The 15,414-nt window shown below is 44.1% G+C and overlaps 1 protein-coding gene across 2 annotated transcripts in view, besides 1 other annotated feature; it reads right to left on the minus strand.

Moving 5' to 3' along the window:
* FAM107B (family with sequence similarity 107 member B) overlaps positions 1-15,414 on the minus strand; it is a 256,341-nt gene that overhangs the window by 151,953 nt on the left and 88,974 nt on the right. The window lies entirely within an intron of this gene.
* Positions 4,235-4,821: an enhancer, noted in NCBI's record as "H3K27ac hESC enhancer chr10:14716743-14717329 (GRCh37/hg19 assembly coordinates)". NCBI's record gives its function as "activates a minimal SCP1, AML or CMV promoter by ChIP-STARR-seq in naive H9 embryonic stem cells {active_cell/tissue: H9 hESC(naive)}" and the evidence as "EXISTENCE:reporter gene assay evidence [ECO:0000049][PMID:30033119]".

Raw genomic sequence — 15,414 nt, forward strand, 5'->3', positions numbered from 1 at the left:
TATTTTATAATACAGCCACAGGGGAAGTCTCTTGAGAGGCCAAAATAATCCAAATAAAGTCATTTTCAAGATGAAAAGACTCTCCCCTTTGAGCCAGTAAGACTGTTTACTTTTTTATTGCTCTGAATTCCAGAACTGTGAAATAACATAGCCCTTTAGCTCTTCTCCAAACATATTTATTACTCCATCTTAAATAGCCCCTCCCTAAGGTTTCCCTTTGACTAGTAAGAGTTGCAAAGTCCCGCAACAATCTGCAGAGGGAAGGATGTTGGAAATGCTCTTGGTTGGAGAGCTTTCAGCACAGAATAAACAAGCATCTGTCCTCACTAGTATAAACTATGTTCTATTTAGAGAAAAGAAGCTGAGCTCCTTCAATTCTTGTGTCTCTTCTCTTCAGCGCAAGTCTGCAATTTGCTGAATGCGTTCGTAGTGGCTTTTTCCCAGCAAAGCTAGAATAAAATGACAACAGTCCAACTGTAGTAGACATCTGTTGATTTTGCTGCCTAGTACTCACTGACTCACTATCTAGTAAGTGTGTCCTGATTTCCTCTTTAAAGCCATCTCATCCCATCTCATCCCACTCTTAAAGAACTGTGGTTTTCTGTGCTCCGTGAAACCGACTCCTTCCCCACCATCCCACTCCAGGGGTGCAACATATGACCCAGGCCCACGCCCATCAGTCTGCTGCATTTCCCTCTGATTGGTAGAGCGGCTATGTTGTTCCAGGACTGTTCCTTAGTTCAGCTAAAGACAGAGTTCTTTGTCCCATGGCCACGAAAATTAAGGCTTGCAGACAATTTGAAAAGGCTCGCCAACAATTTGAATGGTGAGTAAAACAGGGTTTTATTGGGTGAAAAGGAAGAAAAGGGGGAAACAGGGACTCTTACTAGGTCAGAGTCCCTGCTACAACCCTTCCTGTTGGAATCCCAGGTTACACACAGGAAGAGGAGGGGCCAGGCTCCTCCCTGATGCAAATGGCACGAGCTTCCCGAGGCTCCACCCCAAGTGGGCAGGCTGGTTGGAGGTTTTCTGGGGACCCCCTCCCATCTCGCTGTCTGAATGTGACACACTCAGGGTTAGTGAGACCTAATGAGATTTTTCTCTGGACTTCTGGGAAAATGACTCCTGTTCTTATTATCCACTGGCCCTGAAACCAGAGACAGGGGTTGCAGCTGCTACTGTAGGCACCACCTTGTTATCACGTGCGGCTGAAACTGAAGCCCACACAAAGGAAGGCAGAGCCAAGAGATGCTCCAATGCTTTCTTCTGTTGATATCAACTAAGCCCCAAATTCAGCCACGCCTGAAGCAAGATTAACCCTGGACTTTTCCGCATAAGGCAGCTAATACACTCCCTTTTATTTAAAAAAAAAAAACAAAAAAACAAAAAAAAAACCCTCTATTTCTTTTTAAATCAAACTGATTCCTATCAGGTTTTCTGTCACTTCTAAAAGAATGAGTCCTAACTGATACACCAGTGTAAGAACTCCAGCTCTGGGAAATCAGGAGTCAGGCATGCATTGGTTCTGTACATTGGTTCTGTACCTCCCCTGCCATCATGAGTTTTTTTCTTTCTTTTTATTTTTTATTTATTTATTTTTTTTTTTGAGGCAAAGTCTTGCTCTGTTGCCCAGCAGTGGCGTGATCTCGGCTCACTGCAGCCTCCACCTTCCAGGTTCAAGCGATTCTCCTGCCTCAGCCTCCCGAGCAGCTGGGATTACAGGCACCTGCCACCATGCCCAGCTAATTTTTGTATTTTAGTGGAGACGGGATTTCACCATGTTGGTCAAGCTGGTCTCAAACTCCTAACCTCAGTTGATCTGCCCGCCTCGGCCTCCCAAACTGCTGGGATTACAGGCGTGAGCCACTGTGCCCGGCCCCATCATGAGTTTTACAATGCTTATTAAATCAAATGTGACCACGATGATGTACCAAGAATGTACTATTAAAATTTGTCAAACAAATGGACTTTTCATTTACAGTCGTGTGTTGTCACTTTACAACATGAATATGTGTTTGTTTGTGTTTCTAAACATAGAAAAGGTACAGTAAAAAGATAGTTTATAACCTGATGGGACCTCCATTCTATATGGGGTCTGTTGCTGACTGAAACATTATTATATGGCTCATGACTGTATTTTCCTTGAGGACTAATCCCAAGATGCCTCATTGAAAGGGCATGTGAAACCACACTAAGTTTATACTTAGGGAGTTCAAGGTAAGATTTTGGTACAAATTAGCTTCTTTTCCTAAGGTTCACCTGATTGAACATTAGTAGAAATAAAGAAAGAAGGAAGGAATAAAAAAACTTAAAAACACGAACCAAATACATTCACCAATGTACATCAAGTCATTTTCCTTTGGCCTCATAGTTGGCAACATTGGGAGTTAACATTTCACTCTAGGGCAGCAAGTTTAGAAGCAAAAAGGTAGTTTGTTGGAGACAGAAATAGAATTCCTGACCAATAATTAAAGAGGCTTGGTTCCATTCTTTTAAATGGACACATAATAATCATAGATATTTATGTGTACATGTGATATTTCAATACATGTATACATGTGAAATGAGCAAAGCAGGGTAATTAGCCTGTCCGTCACCTCAAACATCCATCATTTCTTTGTGTTAGGAACATTCAATATCTGTTCTTCTAGCTATTTGAAAATATACAATAAATTATTGTTAACTAGAGTCACCCTGCAGTGCTATAGAACACTAGAAACTATTCCTTCTATCTGGCTGTAATTTTGTACTCATTAACCAACCTCTCCCTATTTTTCCTTCCCCCTAACCTTCCCAGCCTCTGGTAACCACTGTTCTCCTCTCCACTTCCATGATACCAACTTTTTCAGCTCTCACATATGAGTCAGAACATGTGGTATCTGTCTTTCTGTGTCTGGCTTATTTCACTTAATATAATGTCCTCCAGGCTCATCTATGTTGCTGCGAATGAAGGATTTTATTCTTTTTTTAAATGTCTGAATAGTATTCTATTGTATAAGTGCCACATTTTCTTTATCCCTTCATCTGTTGATAGACACTCAGGTTGATTCCGTATCTTTGCTATTGTGAATAGTGCTGCAATAAACACGAGAGTGTAGATATCTCTTTGACATGCTGATCTCCTTCCCTTTGGATGCATACCCAGCAGTGGGATTGCTGGATCATATGGTCGTTCTATTTTTAGTTTTTGGAGAAAACTTCATACTGTTTTTCATAACGGCTGTACTGTAGGAGTTCCCCTTTCTCCGTATCCTTTTCGGCGTTTGTTATTTTTTTGTCTTCTTGATAATCGCCATTTGAACTGGGGTGAGATGATATCTCATTTTGGTTTTGATTTGCATTTTCCTGATGATTAGTGATGTGGAGCATTTTTTTAATATACTTGGCTATTTGTATGTCTTCTTTTGAGAAATGCCTATTCCAATCTTTTGCCTATTTTTTAATCAGATTATTTGTTTTTTGCTTTTGCTTTTTGTTTTGTTTGTTTGCTGTTGAGTTATTTGCGTTCCAAGTATCTCTAGAAAAGAGGGCATCCACATGCAGAAGAATGAAGGTAGACCCCTATCTCTCACCAGATCCAAAAATCAACTCAAAATGCATCAAAGACTTAAACGTAAGACCCGAAGCTATGAAACTAGGAGAAGAAAACATAGGGAAAACACTTCAGCACATTGGTCTAGGCAAAGGTTTTATGGCTAGTACCTCAAAAACAGTCAACAAAAGCAAAAATAGACAAATGAGATTATATCAGACTCCAAAGCTCCTGCACAGCAAAGGAAACAATCAACAGAATGAAGTGACAACCTGCAATTTGGGAGAAAATATTTGCAAACTATTGATCTGACAAGAGATTAACATCCAGAATATACAGGGGCTGTGTTTTTAAAACCCCTTCTCAGCATTGCTCCCTGGGGATGGAGTCCTTCAAATTGCTTATGCACCCTTTATAATGTAAAACCACCACTTTGTTTTTCTCTGCAGTCTAGAGAGACATGTGTTTGCCAGTCTTATCCTCTCCCTGAACTAGGACATTTAGAATGCAGTTCCTTAGGTGGATGTTATAAGGGCTGGAGCACTTAGCGTGAGTACAAACTCCTCCCAGACTGGTGACAGGTTAATAATTGTCTCGTTAACTCCCCAAGCAAGTTAATTAGAAGCCAGGCCACCAGGTAGCAGCTACAGGTATGTTTTGTAAACTCCTTCCAAGGGGAAACAGAGTTGTTTGTTTTGTTTTGTTGAGACAGGGTCTCGCTCTCGCTCTGTTGCCCAGGCTGGAGTGCAGTGGTACAATCTTTACCCACTGCAGCTTCAACCTCCCGGGTTCAAGTGATCCTCCCACCTCAGCCTCCTGAGAAGCTGGGGCTATAGGCATGCAGCACCACACCTGGCTAATTTTCATAATTTTTTTTTGTAGAGACAGGGTTTTGCCACGTTGTGCTCCGAAAGTGCTGGGATTACAGGCATGAGCCATTGTGCTTGTCCACGTATGTTTTTAAGCCCCTTCTCTGCACTGATTTAAGCCCCTTCTCTGTGCTGATTCCAGTGGTATAAATTCTCTGAAAATACTTGCATGCCCATATTAAACTGCTATATTTTTTTCCTACACATGTGTATCTAATCCCCTCTGTTCTTGTGTTTGGTGCATTAAGTGTTAAATCATGGGGAAACAGGATTAGGGCCCTTCATGTGAGGCTCAGACCATCCTCTCCATGGGAATAAGCTGGGCGTTGGGAACTCCTTTCCCAATTTTATGGCACCGTGGTCAGGGTGCATACTGGGCCCAAGTGTGCCCCAGTTTTCCTATCTATCTGATATCAACATTTTCTCATTTGTCTGGTGGATAGGTGTCTCTCAACTGGTCTCTGACTTTCCGAGGAAATGGATCTGTGGGTAGATGCTTATTTGGTGCATCTATCCATGGAGGGAGGTCAGTAGCTTTCTGCTCCATTATATTCCTGATGTCATCCAAGGCCTGGTTCCATTTGTCTCCACCTGTTGCAACAAGCCTATGACCGATTAATGGCCTCAACTTCCTTCATTTGGAAAATGGGTCCCAAAGGAGACCCAACCCTTTCCAAGACAATTGAATTTTAATTTTAAAGAAATGTTTCCCTATCATGAAACATTTAAAGAGTTTTCAGATTCTTTCTATTAGGAGCCATATAACAAAGAAAACATCTTACAGTGGATAGCTTTTTATTTTTTCTCATTTCAAATAATTCTGGATTAGAGTCTCAAGGGTAGGATTCTGTTTCAAAGGACATAGGTGTCTTTGAGGCTCTTGATGTAGATTCAAAATTACCCCCCAGAATGTTTCAGCAAGTTAATGTGTTAAAGTGCAGCAGTCCCATTACAGCTTCTCCAGCAGCCCGGTGCAGTGAATCACGCCTGGAATCCCAGCATCTTGGGAGGCCAAGGTAAGAGGATCGCTTGAGCCCAGGAGTTCAAGACCAGCCTAGGCAACATAGTGAAAGCCTGTCTCTGCAAGTAATAAAAAAATTAGCCAGATGTGATGGTGCACACCTGTAGTCCCAGCTACTTGGGGGGCTGAAGTGGGAGGATCACTTGAGCCTGGGGAGGTCAAGGCTTCAGTGAGCCAAGATCATGCGACTGCACTCCAGTCTGGGTGACAGAGCAAGACTCTGTCTCAGAATCAAAAACAAAACAAAACAAAAAAACTTATGTAGCAGCAGCATCTAATTACACATTTTGATGGATATGAATAGTCTGTTACTGGACGTAATTTTAGAACCCAATATCCAACACCACCATATTCCAGTACCAAGAGTCTTCCATACTGTGTTGCATTACTACTAATAAAAATGTGTTTAGTTTTCCAGGGAATCTCTTATATAAGCCATCGGTAGCCCACTAAATTACATATTCTTCCAGAGCAAAAACTGTGCTTCCCTTTTCAAGCTTCATTCAGAGTCTACACCCTCTCTTAACAGGTGTTTATTAAACAATTGTTAAATGAATTCACTTGTTTACCCACTTTGTATCTTTGTTTCACGCCCAACATAGTAATACATCCCACAATAAAAATTCAAACATTATTGCTTCTAGTAACACAGATAAGTCAGAAATGCCTCCAAGAAAGCTTTCTGAAGCAGCCCCACCTCCGTCTGAAGCTCTACCCCATTCTATCTTTATTCTATTAACTAAAATGACTTGAGTGCTTGCAGTATGTCAGAGAAACTGCACTGTATGTGTGCACTTAATCCATAACAACCCTCTGTGCAAGTAATCTTATTAATTATTGGAGGAGTTAGTAATTCACCCTGTCGTGGATGCTGTGATGTGGCACCTGAAAAAGTTGTTCTCTGTAATATTTATTCTCAAAGCTGCAAGAAACGCTGTTGACAGATAGCTCTCAGCTGTCAGCCACCCGGGTGATTGCTGTAGGGAGCCAGCATCCACTGACTTGGTTGACATGAAAGCAGAGAGTCCTGGTCCCCTCACTCCAACTCAGGACAACTCTAACAGCTCTCCTTTCTCCAGAGCTCTCTGTGAAGTTGGCTGAAGCCTTCATCAAGACTTTATTGTAGCCCAATGCCTCCCTCTGCCCAATCCTGCCCCTTTCCCTCCTCTTTCTATCCACAAGGGTTGATCCCAGGAGCATTCCCTAATCAACATTATAGCTGCTACTCTCCATTTCCCAGTGGCCTTTCCAGGAACTCATCAACGCAGCCAAAGTCATGCTTCTCAAAAACGACAAAAAGGAGATTCAAACCCAGGCCTACTCGGCTCTCAAACCCGTGATATAAAGCACTACACTAAACTCTCTTCCTAATCCCAATGCCTCTCTCTTTTTAAAGCTACAGATACCTGGCCGGGCGCGGTGGCTCAATCCTGTAATCCCAGCACTTCGGGAGGCCGAGGTGGGCAGATCACGAGGTCAGGAGATTGAGACCATCCTGGCTAACACACTGAAACCCCGTCTCCACTAAAAATACAAAAAATTAGCCGGGCGTGGTGGTGGGCGCCTGTAGTCCCAGCTACTCGGCAGGCTGAGGCAGGAGAATGGCGCGAACCCGGGAGGCGGAGCTTGCAGTGAGCAGAGATGGCGCCACTGCACTCCAGCCTGGGCGACAGAGCGAGACTCCGTCTCAAAAAACAAAAAAGAAAAAAAAAAAGCTACAGATACCAGAACCCCACACCCAGAGATTCTGATATGGTTAGTGTGGGTTGGTCAGTGACTAACCATCTTAACTTGCTCAGGACTGAGGGGTTCCCCAGGACGCAGGACTTTCAGAGCTAAAACCAGGAAAGTCCTGGGAAAACGGGGGCAAGTTGGTCACCCTAATTGGGGCGTGTCTCTGGTGTCTGTAATTTCAACAAGCTCTTTGGATGTTTCTGGTGCACTCTAAAGCATTAAAAAGCGGTGTATTGATAAAAAGAAGTCCTAATGATGGGCGGGTGTTGTTAAACGACCATCATCAAACTCTATTCTGTGTTAGGCACTGTCTTTCCAGGGCAATCTGTTTATTAGATACTATCATCCCCATTTTACAGATGAGGAAACTAAGGTCAGAGAAATCATGGAACTTGCCCAAGGCCACAGAAGCGAGTAAGTGCTGGAACCTGACGACAAGCCTAGGTGGTCCGGAGTCTGTGCTGACAAACCCTACCCCACGCTGAATCCAAAATGACTTATTCTCTCTAAATTTCCTCCTCTGGAGATGGAGAGAATAATATTTCTGCCCATGGGTGGTTGTTGTTAGGGTAAAATAAGGTAACGAAGTACCTCCTTTGCACCTCCCAGAGTGGATACGTATTATGTTCCCTTCCTTTCTTCCTCGGTGGGATGGTGGGTATGTGTTTTCTGTCCATTGAACACTAAGAAGAGGATTAAAGCTGTTTCCTGATTGTATACACAACTTTCAGCAAAACTGACTCAAGGAAAAACTCACTTTAAGTCACTACACATTGACCGAGAAACTTCCATGTTCATGGCATTCTGCTAGGAAACGTGGGGGACACTGCAGTGAACAAACCTAATTCGGGACCTCCAGAAACTCATCAACAAAGAGGACAGATGGATTACATGGATCTCAGTCTTCCTGGGAAAAGAAAAATCCTAACGCTAACAAATAGCTTCCTCTCCTCTCCTCTCCTCTCTCTGTTTGTCTCCCTTTTCTTCTCCTCTCTTCTTCATGTAAGGGTGGAACATGCACGATAAATAGGAAAAAGAACTTCAATATGAGAACCTGAGAGAAAGAGAATTTGACTAGCATGTTGGAAAGAGAGAAGGTGACAGAAATCACATCAGCTCTTCTGTGTCCTCAGCCCTCATGTTCTGGGTGAGTCCCTGGTGAATACAGGCGTCTCCAGGCCTCATCACACGGAACAGTTTAGGTGGCAGACACATCCAGTCAATTCTAAAACATGCTGAGTGATTCTTGTTTTAAGAAATTAACATGGCAGATACAACTATTGTGAAAAGTGCCAAGAACTCCAGAGTAAGTGAGCAGAGAGGGAAGCAGAGCCTGCTGGCATCCCACAGGGGTGCTGGAAAGGATGTGGGCCTTGGAGTTAGAGAGACTGAGGTTCAAATCCCAGTCCTGCCATGCAGGAACTGTGTGAGCCTCAGTTTCATCATAAAAAAGTCAAGGTAATTTGTTTTCCTTTTTTTTTGGAGAGAGGGGCTCACTGTATTGCCCAGGCTGGAGTGCAGTGATGTGATCATAGCTCATTGCAGCCTTGACCTGCTGGGCTCAAGCGATCCTCCTACCCCAGCCTCCCGAATATGTGGGACTACAAGCACACACCACCAAGCCTGGCTAATATTTTTATTTTTTTGTAGAAACAGGGTCTCACTATGTTGTCCAGGCTGGTCTTGAACTCCTGGCCTCAAGCAATCCTTTTGCCTTGGCCTCCCAAAGTGCTGGGATTACAGGCATGAACCACTGGACCTGGCAAAAAAAAGTTGAGGTTATACTTAATGTCCTAGCAGGATTTCTGTGAAGATGAAACAAGGTGATGTATGTAAAACTACTTCCCTAATCACTGTGATTGTGAGATAGCGGGACTATCATCTGCCTGACTAGCAGCCTTTCACCCCCTTCTGGTAAAGTTGCTACCCCTTGGACATAAGGATGAACCCAGGCAAGATGACAAAACCGAATTCAAGCTAAGGTGTTGTGATGGTTAATACTGAGTGTCAACTTGATGGAATTGAAGGATGCAAAGTATTGTCCCGGGGTGTGTCTGTGAGGGTGTTGCCAAAGGAGATTAACATTTGAGACAGTGGACTGGGAAAGGCAGACCCACCCTCAATCTAGTGGGCACCATCTAATCAGCTGCCAGCACAGCTAGAATAAAAGCAGGCAGAGGAACGAGGAAAGACTAGACTGGTTCAGTCTTCCGGCCTCCATCTTTCTCCCGTGCTGGATGCTTCCTGCCCTCAAACATCGGACTCCAAGTTCTTCAGCTTTGGGACTCGGACTGGCTTCCTTGATCCTCAGCTTGCAAATGGCCTATTGTGGGACCTCAACTTGTGATCGTGTGAGTCAATACTCCTTAATAAACTCCCCTTTATATGTTCAGCAATCCTATTAGTTCTGTCCCTCTAGAGAACCCTGACTAACACAGATTTCGGTATCAGGAGTGGCTATAATACAGGTTGCTTGGCTGGGACTCTTCAACTGGGCTGGTGGAAGTCTTACATTCTTGAGTTCCCAGCATAGAACTCTGAGCTAGCAACAGTCACATCCCATGAGAAAGTTATTAAGAGAATGAATCCAGAACCTAATGAGGAGATCAGACAAAAGCCAGAGAGGGGCCGGGTGCGGTGGCTCATGACTGTAATTCTAGCACTTTGGGAGGCTGAGGCAGGCACATCACCTGAGGTCAGGAGTTCGAGACCAGCCAGACCAACATGGCGAAACCTCATCTCTACTAAAAATACAAAAATTAGCCAGGTGTGGTGGCACATGCCTGTAATCCCAGCTACTCGGGAGGCTGAGGCAGGAGAATCGCTTGAACCCCGGAGGCAGAGGTTGCAGTGAACTGAAATCATGCCACTGCACTCCAGCCTGGGCAACAGAGCGAGACTCTGTCTCAAAAAAAAAAAAAAAATGCACAGAGGGAACCTGAGGAAATGGTGGCCCTGCCTCCTGCAAGGATTCCTCATCTGTGATTGTTCATTGTTTATTTCCCCATTCTTCTGGCAAATTCCCACTAACTTCCTCTGGCTCAAGGAATTAGACATGAGGGAGTAAAAAAAGGTGGAAGGTGTCACTCCTGTTTTAGCATGGAGCTCCTCTCTCCAGACCTCTCTGTGAGGTTGGCTGAAGCCTTCATCAAGACTTCATTGGAGCCCAGTGTCTCCCTTTGCCCAATCCCACCCATTTCTCTTCTCTTTCCATCCACAGTGGTTGATCTCAGCAGCATTCCCTAATCAACATTATACCTTAGCACCCCACTCCAGCCATCATTGGGTCTATGAAGTGTATTTCCCAGGAGCAAAAACCATAACTCACTCAGCCATCCAGGATCAGGGAGACTCTGGGGTCCTGACTGGAGGTTTGCCACCTTCACTGTGTAGAATGCTAGGTGACTTTCTCTATCACTTCTTATAGGAACCCTAAGTAGCTACAGCAAAAGACAGAGTGGTTCACGTGCTTGCAAAGCTGTATTTCTCAAAGTCTGGTGTGTGTTCAAACCACCTGGAGAATGTGGAAGAAATGCAGAGGACCTGGCCCTACCCCTCTTCAGCAGGCCTGGGCCTCTGGCTTCTGTGTTAGTTCTCCAGGTGACACTAGTACACACTGAAGTTTGAGAATCACCGTTGCAAAGGAGGCAGGTATGGTCTGATGCTCAGACAATATCATCAGGGCCCTCTCTTTTCCTCAATCTCTCCACCTGTCCATTGCTGTCTGGGTGTCATTCCATAGGGTCCTTCTTCATTGCATGCTCAAGGCCACTTTTGCTCTGAGTCACATCCTTTCAGCTCATGTTTCAAAGGCAGATAAGTAGCCTCTCAGTCCCTACATCCATATACAGGGTTTCAGAGAAATACTGACTGTTCCATCTTGGGTCGCATACTTGCCCCTCGTCACATGCTCATGACCGTCACCGCACCCAGAGGAATGAGGGGGACTGTAATTTTCCAGACTTGTATCACTGCCCATTCCAAGAACCACTGGATGGAGGACGTGGGTGCTATGATTAGAAACCTCCCAGAACCTCATGGAATGGGGAAGTCAGAGCTCCTTAATGTAAAGAAGGCTGTGTCCAAAAGCAGAGGAGCAAGGGATGCTGGCCACAATGCTGTTCCAAATACACACAGCGCAACAGTTCGCTCCCAAGTAGACTGAATTCTAATCACAGCCATAAGACTAGTAGCTTTAACAACGGAGAGGCATTGGTAATAGCGAGAGAGTTTAGTGTCGTGGTTGATATCATGGGTTTGAGAGTCAATTGCGGGCACCTATACACCAGTCAAAACAAATATGTTTCAATATTTTAACAGTGCATATTTTCTCACAGATGCACACCTGTTGAACATTTCCAGCCCTGAGTATCCTCTTAATAACCATACTGCTAGAACATAGGTATGTATGCTGTAGGATGTTGGAGTTATGCAAAGCCTCTTTCTGGAGCACTTGTTTTACTCAAATATTTGGGAAGGAAAACATTATTTGTATATTAAAACAAACCTAACTACATTGCCGAACAGTATGCAGAACAGACACAAATGTTTAGGATGAACATAAAATGTCAAGGAAGCTTGGGCTGGCTGTGGTGGCTCATGCCTGTAATCCCAGAACTTTGGGAGGCCGAGGTGGGTGGATCATCTGAGGTCAGGAGTTCAAGACCAGCCTGGCCAACATAGTGAAACCTCGCCTCTACTAAAAACATAAAAATTAGCTGGGCTTGGTGGCGCACGCCTGTAGTCCCAGCTACTCAGGAGGCTGAGGCAAGAGGATCACTTGAACCCAGGAGGTGCAGGTTGCAGTGAACCGAGATTGTGCCACTGCATTCCAGCTTGGGCAACAGAGTGAGACTCCATCTCAAAAATAAATAAATAAATAAAACTATGCAGCCATAAAAAAGGATGAGCTCATGTCCTTTGCAGGGATATGGATGAAGCTGGAAACCATCATTCTCAGCAAACTAACATAAGAACAGAAAACCAAGCCTCACATGTTCTCACTTATAAGTGGGAGTTGAACAATGAGAACACATGGACACAGGGAGGGGAACATCACACAGCAGGGCATGTCAGGGGGTCGAGAGCTAGGGGAGGGATAGCATTAGGAGAAATACCTAATGTAGATGATGGGCTGATGGGTACAGCAAACCACTATGGCACATGTATACCTATGTAACAAAACTGCACATTCTGCACATGTACCCCATAACTTAAAGTATAATAATAAAAAAAAGAAAAATAAATAAATAAATAAATAAAAATAATGTCAAGGAAGCTCGAACGTGGAATCCCGGACATAAGGGGTCCTCCTGCAGCAAAGACTGCAAAGCATTGTCAGAGAAACTGCCATATAGACAACATTTGTGTCCCCATTACACAATGTGGGACTGGCAGGGTGAAGATGTTGTCTAAAGGTGCAATGTGTACTTTTAAGTGGAGCAGGAATCCACGCCATCCGCCTGGCTCGGAGCACCTGTGCTCTCAGCAATATCATGCTGCCTTCCTGAACCCTAGCCCCTTGCTGGTCTTGCTGGTGTTATTTTGATTTTTGGGAAATCTAATCTACAGTGGAAAGAAAAGTTATTGAATAGCTCTCCTTAGTGAAAGAACTCACTGAGGAGAATTTTGAGGTTAAGGAAGAGGATAGGTGGTTCAGTTCTGCAACGGAATGAGTGATTGTTCCACACCGTTAGGGAAGGCCTTTGCAAAGACAAACCATTGTGTGTTTCAAGGTTTAGAGAGCCACAGGCCAAGAAAGCCGCAGGAACAAAACAACATTCGTTGCACGGTGGAAATTTCAGAACCAGTTGTGTAGGAAAGTTTGACGCAATCTTTTGGCTACAATTCAACCTGCTGGTCTAAAATTCAAAGTTGTACAATAATTGCAAAAAGATTTGCATTAAAGTAAACACTTATCAAACTACTGGAAGATAGAGGGGTAAGCCTGGTTGTCTATACTGATGAGCTGAGAAACATTAGAAATATCATATGGAGATAGGGTTACAGATCATGAGTGAGTACCAATAGAATCATGACTCTCCAGCTACTTAGAGCATCTAATTTTCCTCTACAAGTCCTCTGTAAACACTTGTCGAATGAATGCATAAATAAGTGAATACATCACAATTTTTTAAGAAAAATGTTTCTCCCAAAAATTATTTTTCATGTAACTGAAGCTCCCAGAGGCTACACATGCATGTCCCCCGGCCTTAAGCTGTACAGAGCACTGTTATATATCTCTGGAAAACAATGCACAGTTAAAGAGAGAAGCGTGTCTTAGGCCATTTGGGCTGCTACAATGAAATACTATAGACTACCTGTCTTATAAACAACAGCCATTTATTTCTTATAGCTCTAGAGGCTGCAAAGTCCAAGATCAAGGCAGTGTTAGACTTGGTGTCCGATGAGGGCACACTTCCTTGTTCATAGGCAGTGCCTTCTCAGCTGTGTCCTCATATGCTGGAAGGGGCTCCCTGGGGTCTCTTTTAAACTGGCAACAATGGCTAGGCACAGTGGCTCACGCCTAGTAATCCCAGCACTTTAGGAGGCCGAGGCAGGTGGATCACCTGACGTCAGGAGTTCAAGACCAGCCTGGCCAACATGGTGAAACCCCGTCTCTACTAAAAATAAAAAATTAGCCAGGTGTGGTGGTGCACACCTGTAGTCCCAGCTACTTGGGAGGCTGAGGTAGGAGAATCACTTGAACCTGGGAGGTGGAAGTTGCAGTGAGCCAAGATCATGCCACAGCACTCCAGCCTGGGTGACACAGCAAGACTCCATCTCAAAAAGAATAAATACATAAATAAAATAAAATGGCAACAATTCCATTCATGAAGCGTCCAGCCTCATGACCTAATCACTTCCCAAAGGCCCCACCCTCCTAATAGCCTAATATGTTAGGATTTCAACATAGGAATTTCAGAGGGACACAAACATTCAGACAACAGCATTGTGCCAAAAGGATCCCGTAAATACATTGTGAATGATAGAATGTGATAGAATAAGGGTTTTGTTCAAAACTGAGACACACTTTTTTATTCTATCTCTTTATGGTTTCACAAAATTAGTAATACTTCAGATCTACCTAGTACCTCTCCATTTATAAGGCGATATTGAATAGATGATTTCCTTTCACTTCTTCAGTGACTTTTTGTTTTTCTTTTTTTTTTTGAGACAAAACCTCACTCTGTCACCCAGGCTGGAGTGCAGGGGAGCAATCTTGGCTCACGGCAGCCTCAATCTCCGGGGCTCAAGTGATCCTCCCATCTCAACCTTCCAATCAGCTGGGACCACAGGCGTGCACTACTATGCCTGGCTAATTTTTAAATTATTTTAAATTATTTGTAGACATGGGGTCTCCCTATCAATGCCCAGGGTGCCCAGGGTGGTCTCTAGCTCCTGGGCTCAAGTGAATCTCCCAAAGTGCTGAGATTATAGGTGTTAGTCGTCACGCCCAGCCAATAACATCCTTTTATTTTTTTTTTTTTTTTTTTTTTTTGAGACAGGTTCTTGCTCTGTCACCTGGGCTGGAGTGCAGAGGTGTGATCAGAGCTCACCGCAACCTCCAACTCCTGGGCTCAAGCCATCCTCCCACCTCAGCCTCCTGAGTAGCTAGGACTACAGGTATGTACCACCATGACCCGCTAATTTTTAAATTTTTGGTAGAGACGAGGCCTCACTATGTTGCCCAGACTGACCTCAAACTCCTGGGCCCAAGCAATCCTCCCACCTAGGCCTCCCTCCAAAAGTGCTAGGATTATAGTGTGAGCCACTGCACCTGGTCTTGATAACTTTTTATGGTGGACAGAGTAGGTGTCCCCCAGTTTTCAAGGAAGAATTTAATCCCCACAGACACACAACCATAAAGAAAGGCAAGTTAGGGTGCCCTTCTCGTGAGCCATTAAGGGAGTGCAGCCTGGTAGCTGCCTATTGGCTCCTGTCACTTACATAAAGTTCAGACAAGAGTCTCAGAAAGTAGGGAAGGAGGAGAGGTGTTTCCAGAAGCCTCAGACTGCCTCCTATGAACACATACTTGGAGCGTTTGTAAGAATCCTGGAGGTTACTTCTGAGTTTGGGTTTTATATCCGCTCAGTCTCCCTCTCTATCAGTCTGTTCTCACACCGCTGATAAAGACATACCCAAGACTGAGTGATTTATAAAGGAAAGAGGTTTAATGGACTCACAGTTCTACATGGCTGGGGCGGCCTCACAATCATGGCGGAAGGCAAAAAAGAAGCGAAGACAAGCCTTGTCTT

This window comes from Homo sapiens, chromosome 10 (genome assembly GCF_000001405.40).
Source record: "Homo sapiens chromosome 10, GRCh38.p14 Primary Assembly".
Classification (NCBI taxonomy): domain Eukaryota; kingdom Metazoa; phylum Chordata; class Mammalia; order Primates; family Hominidae; genus Homo; species Homo sapiens.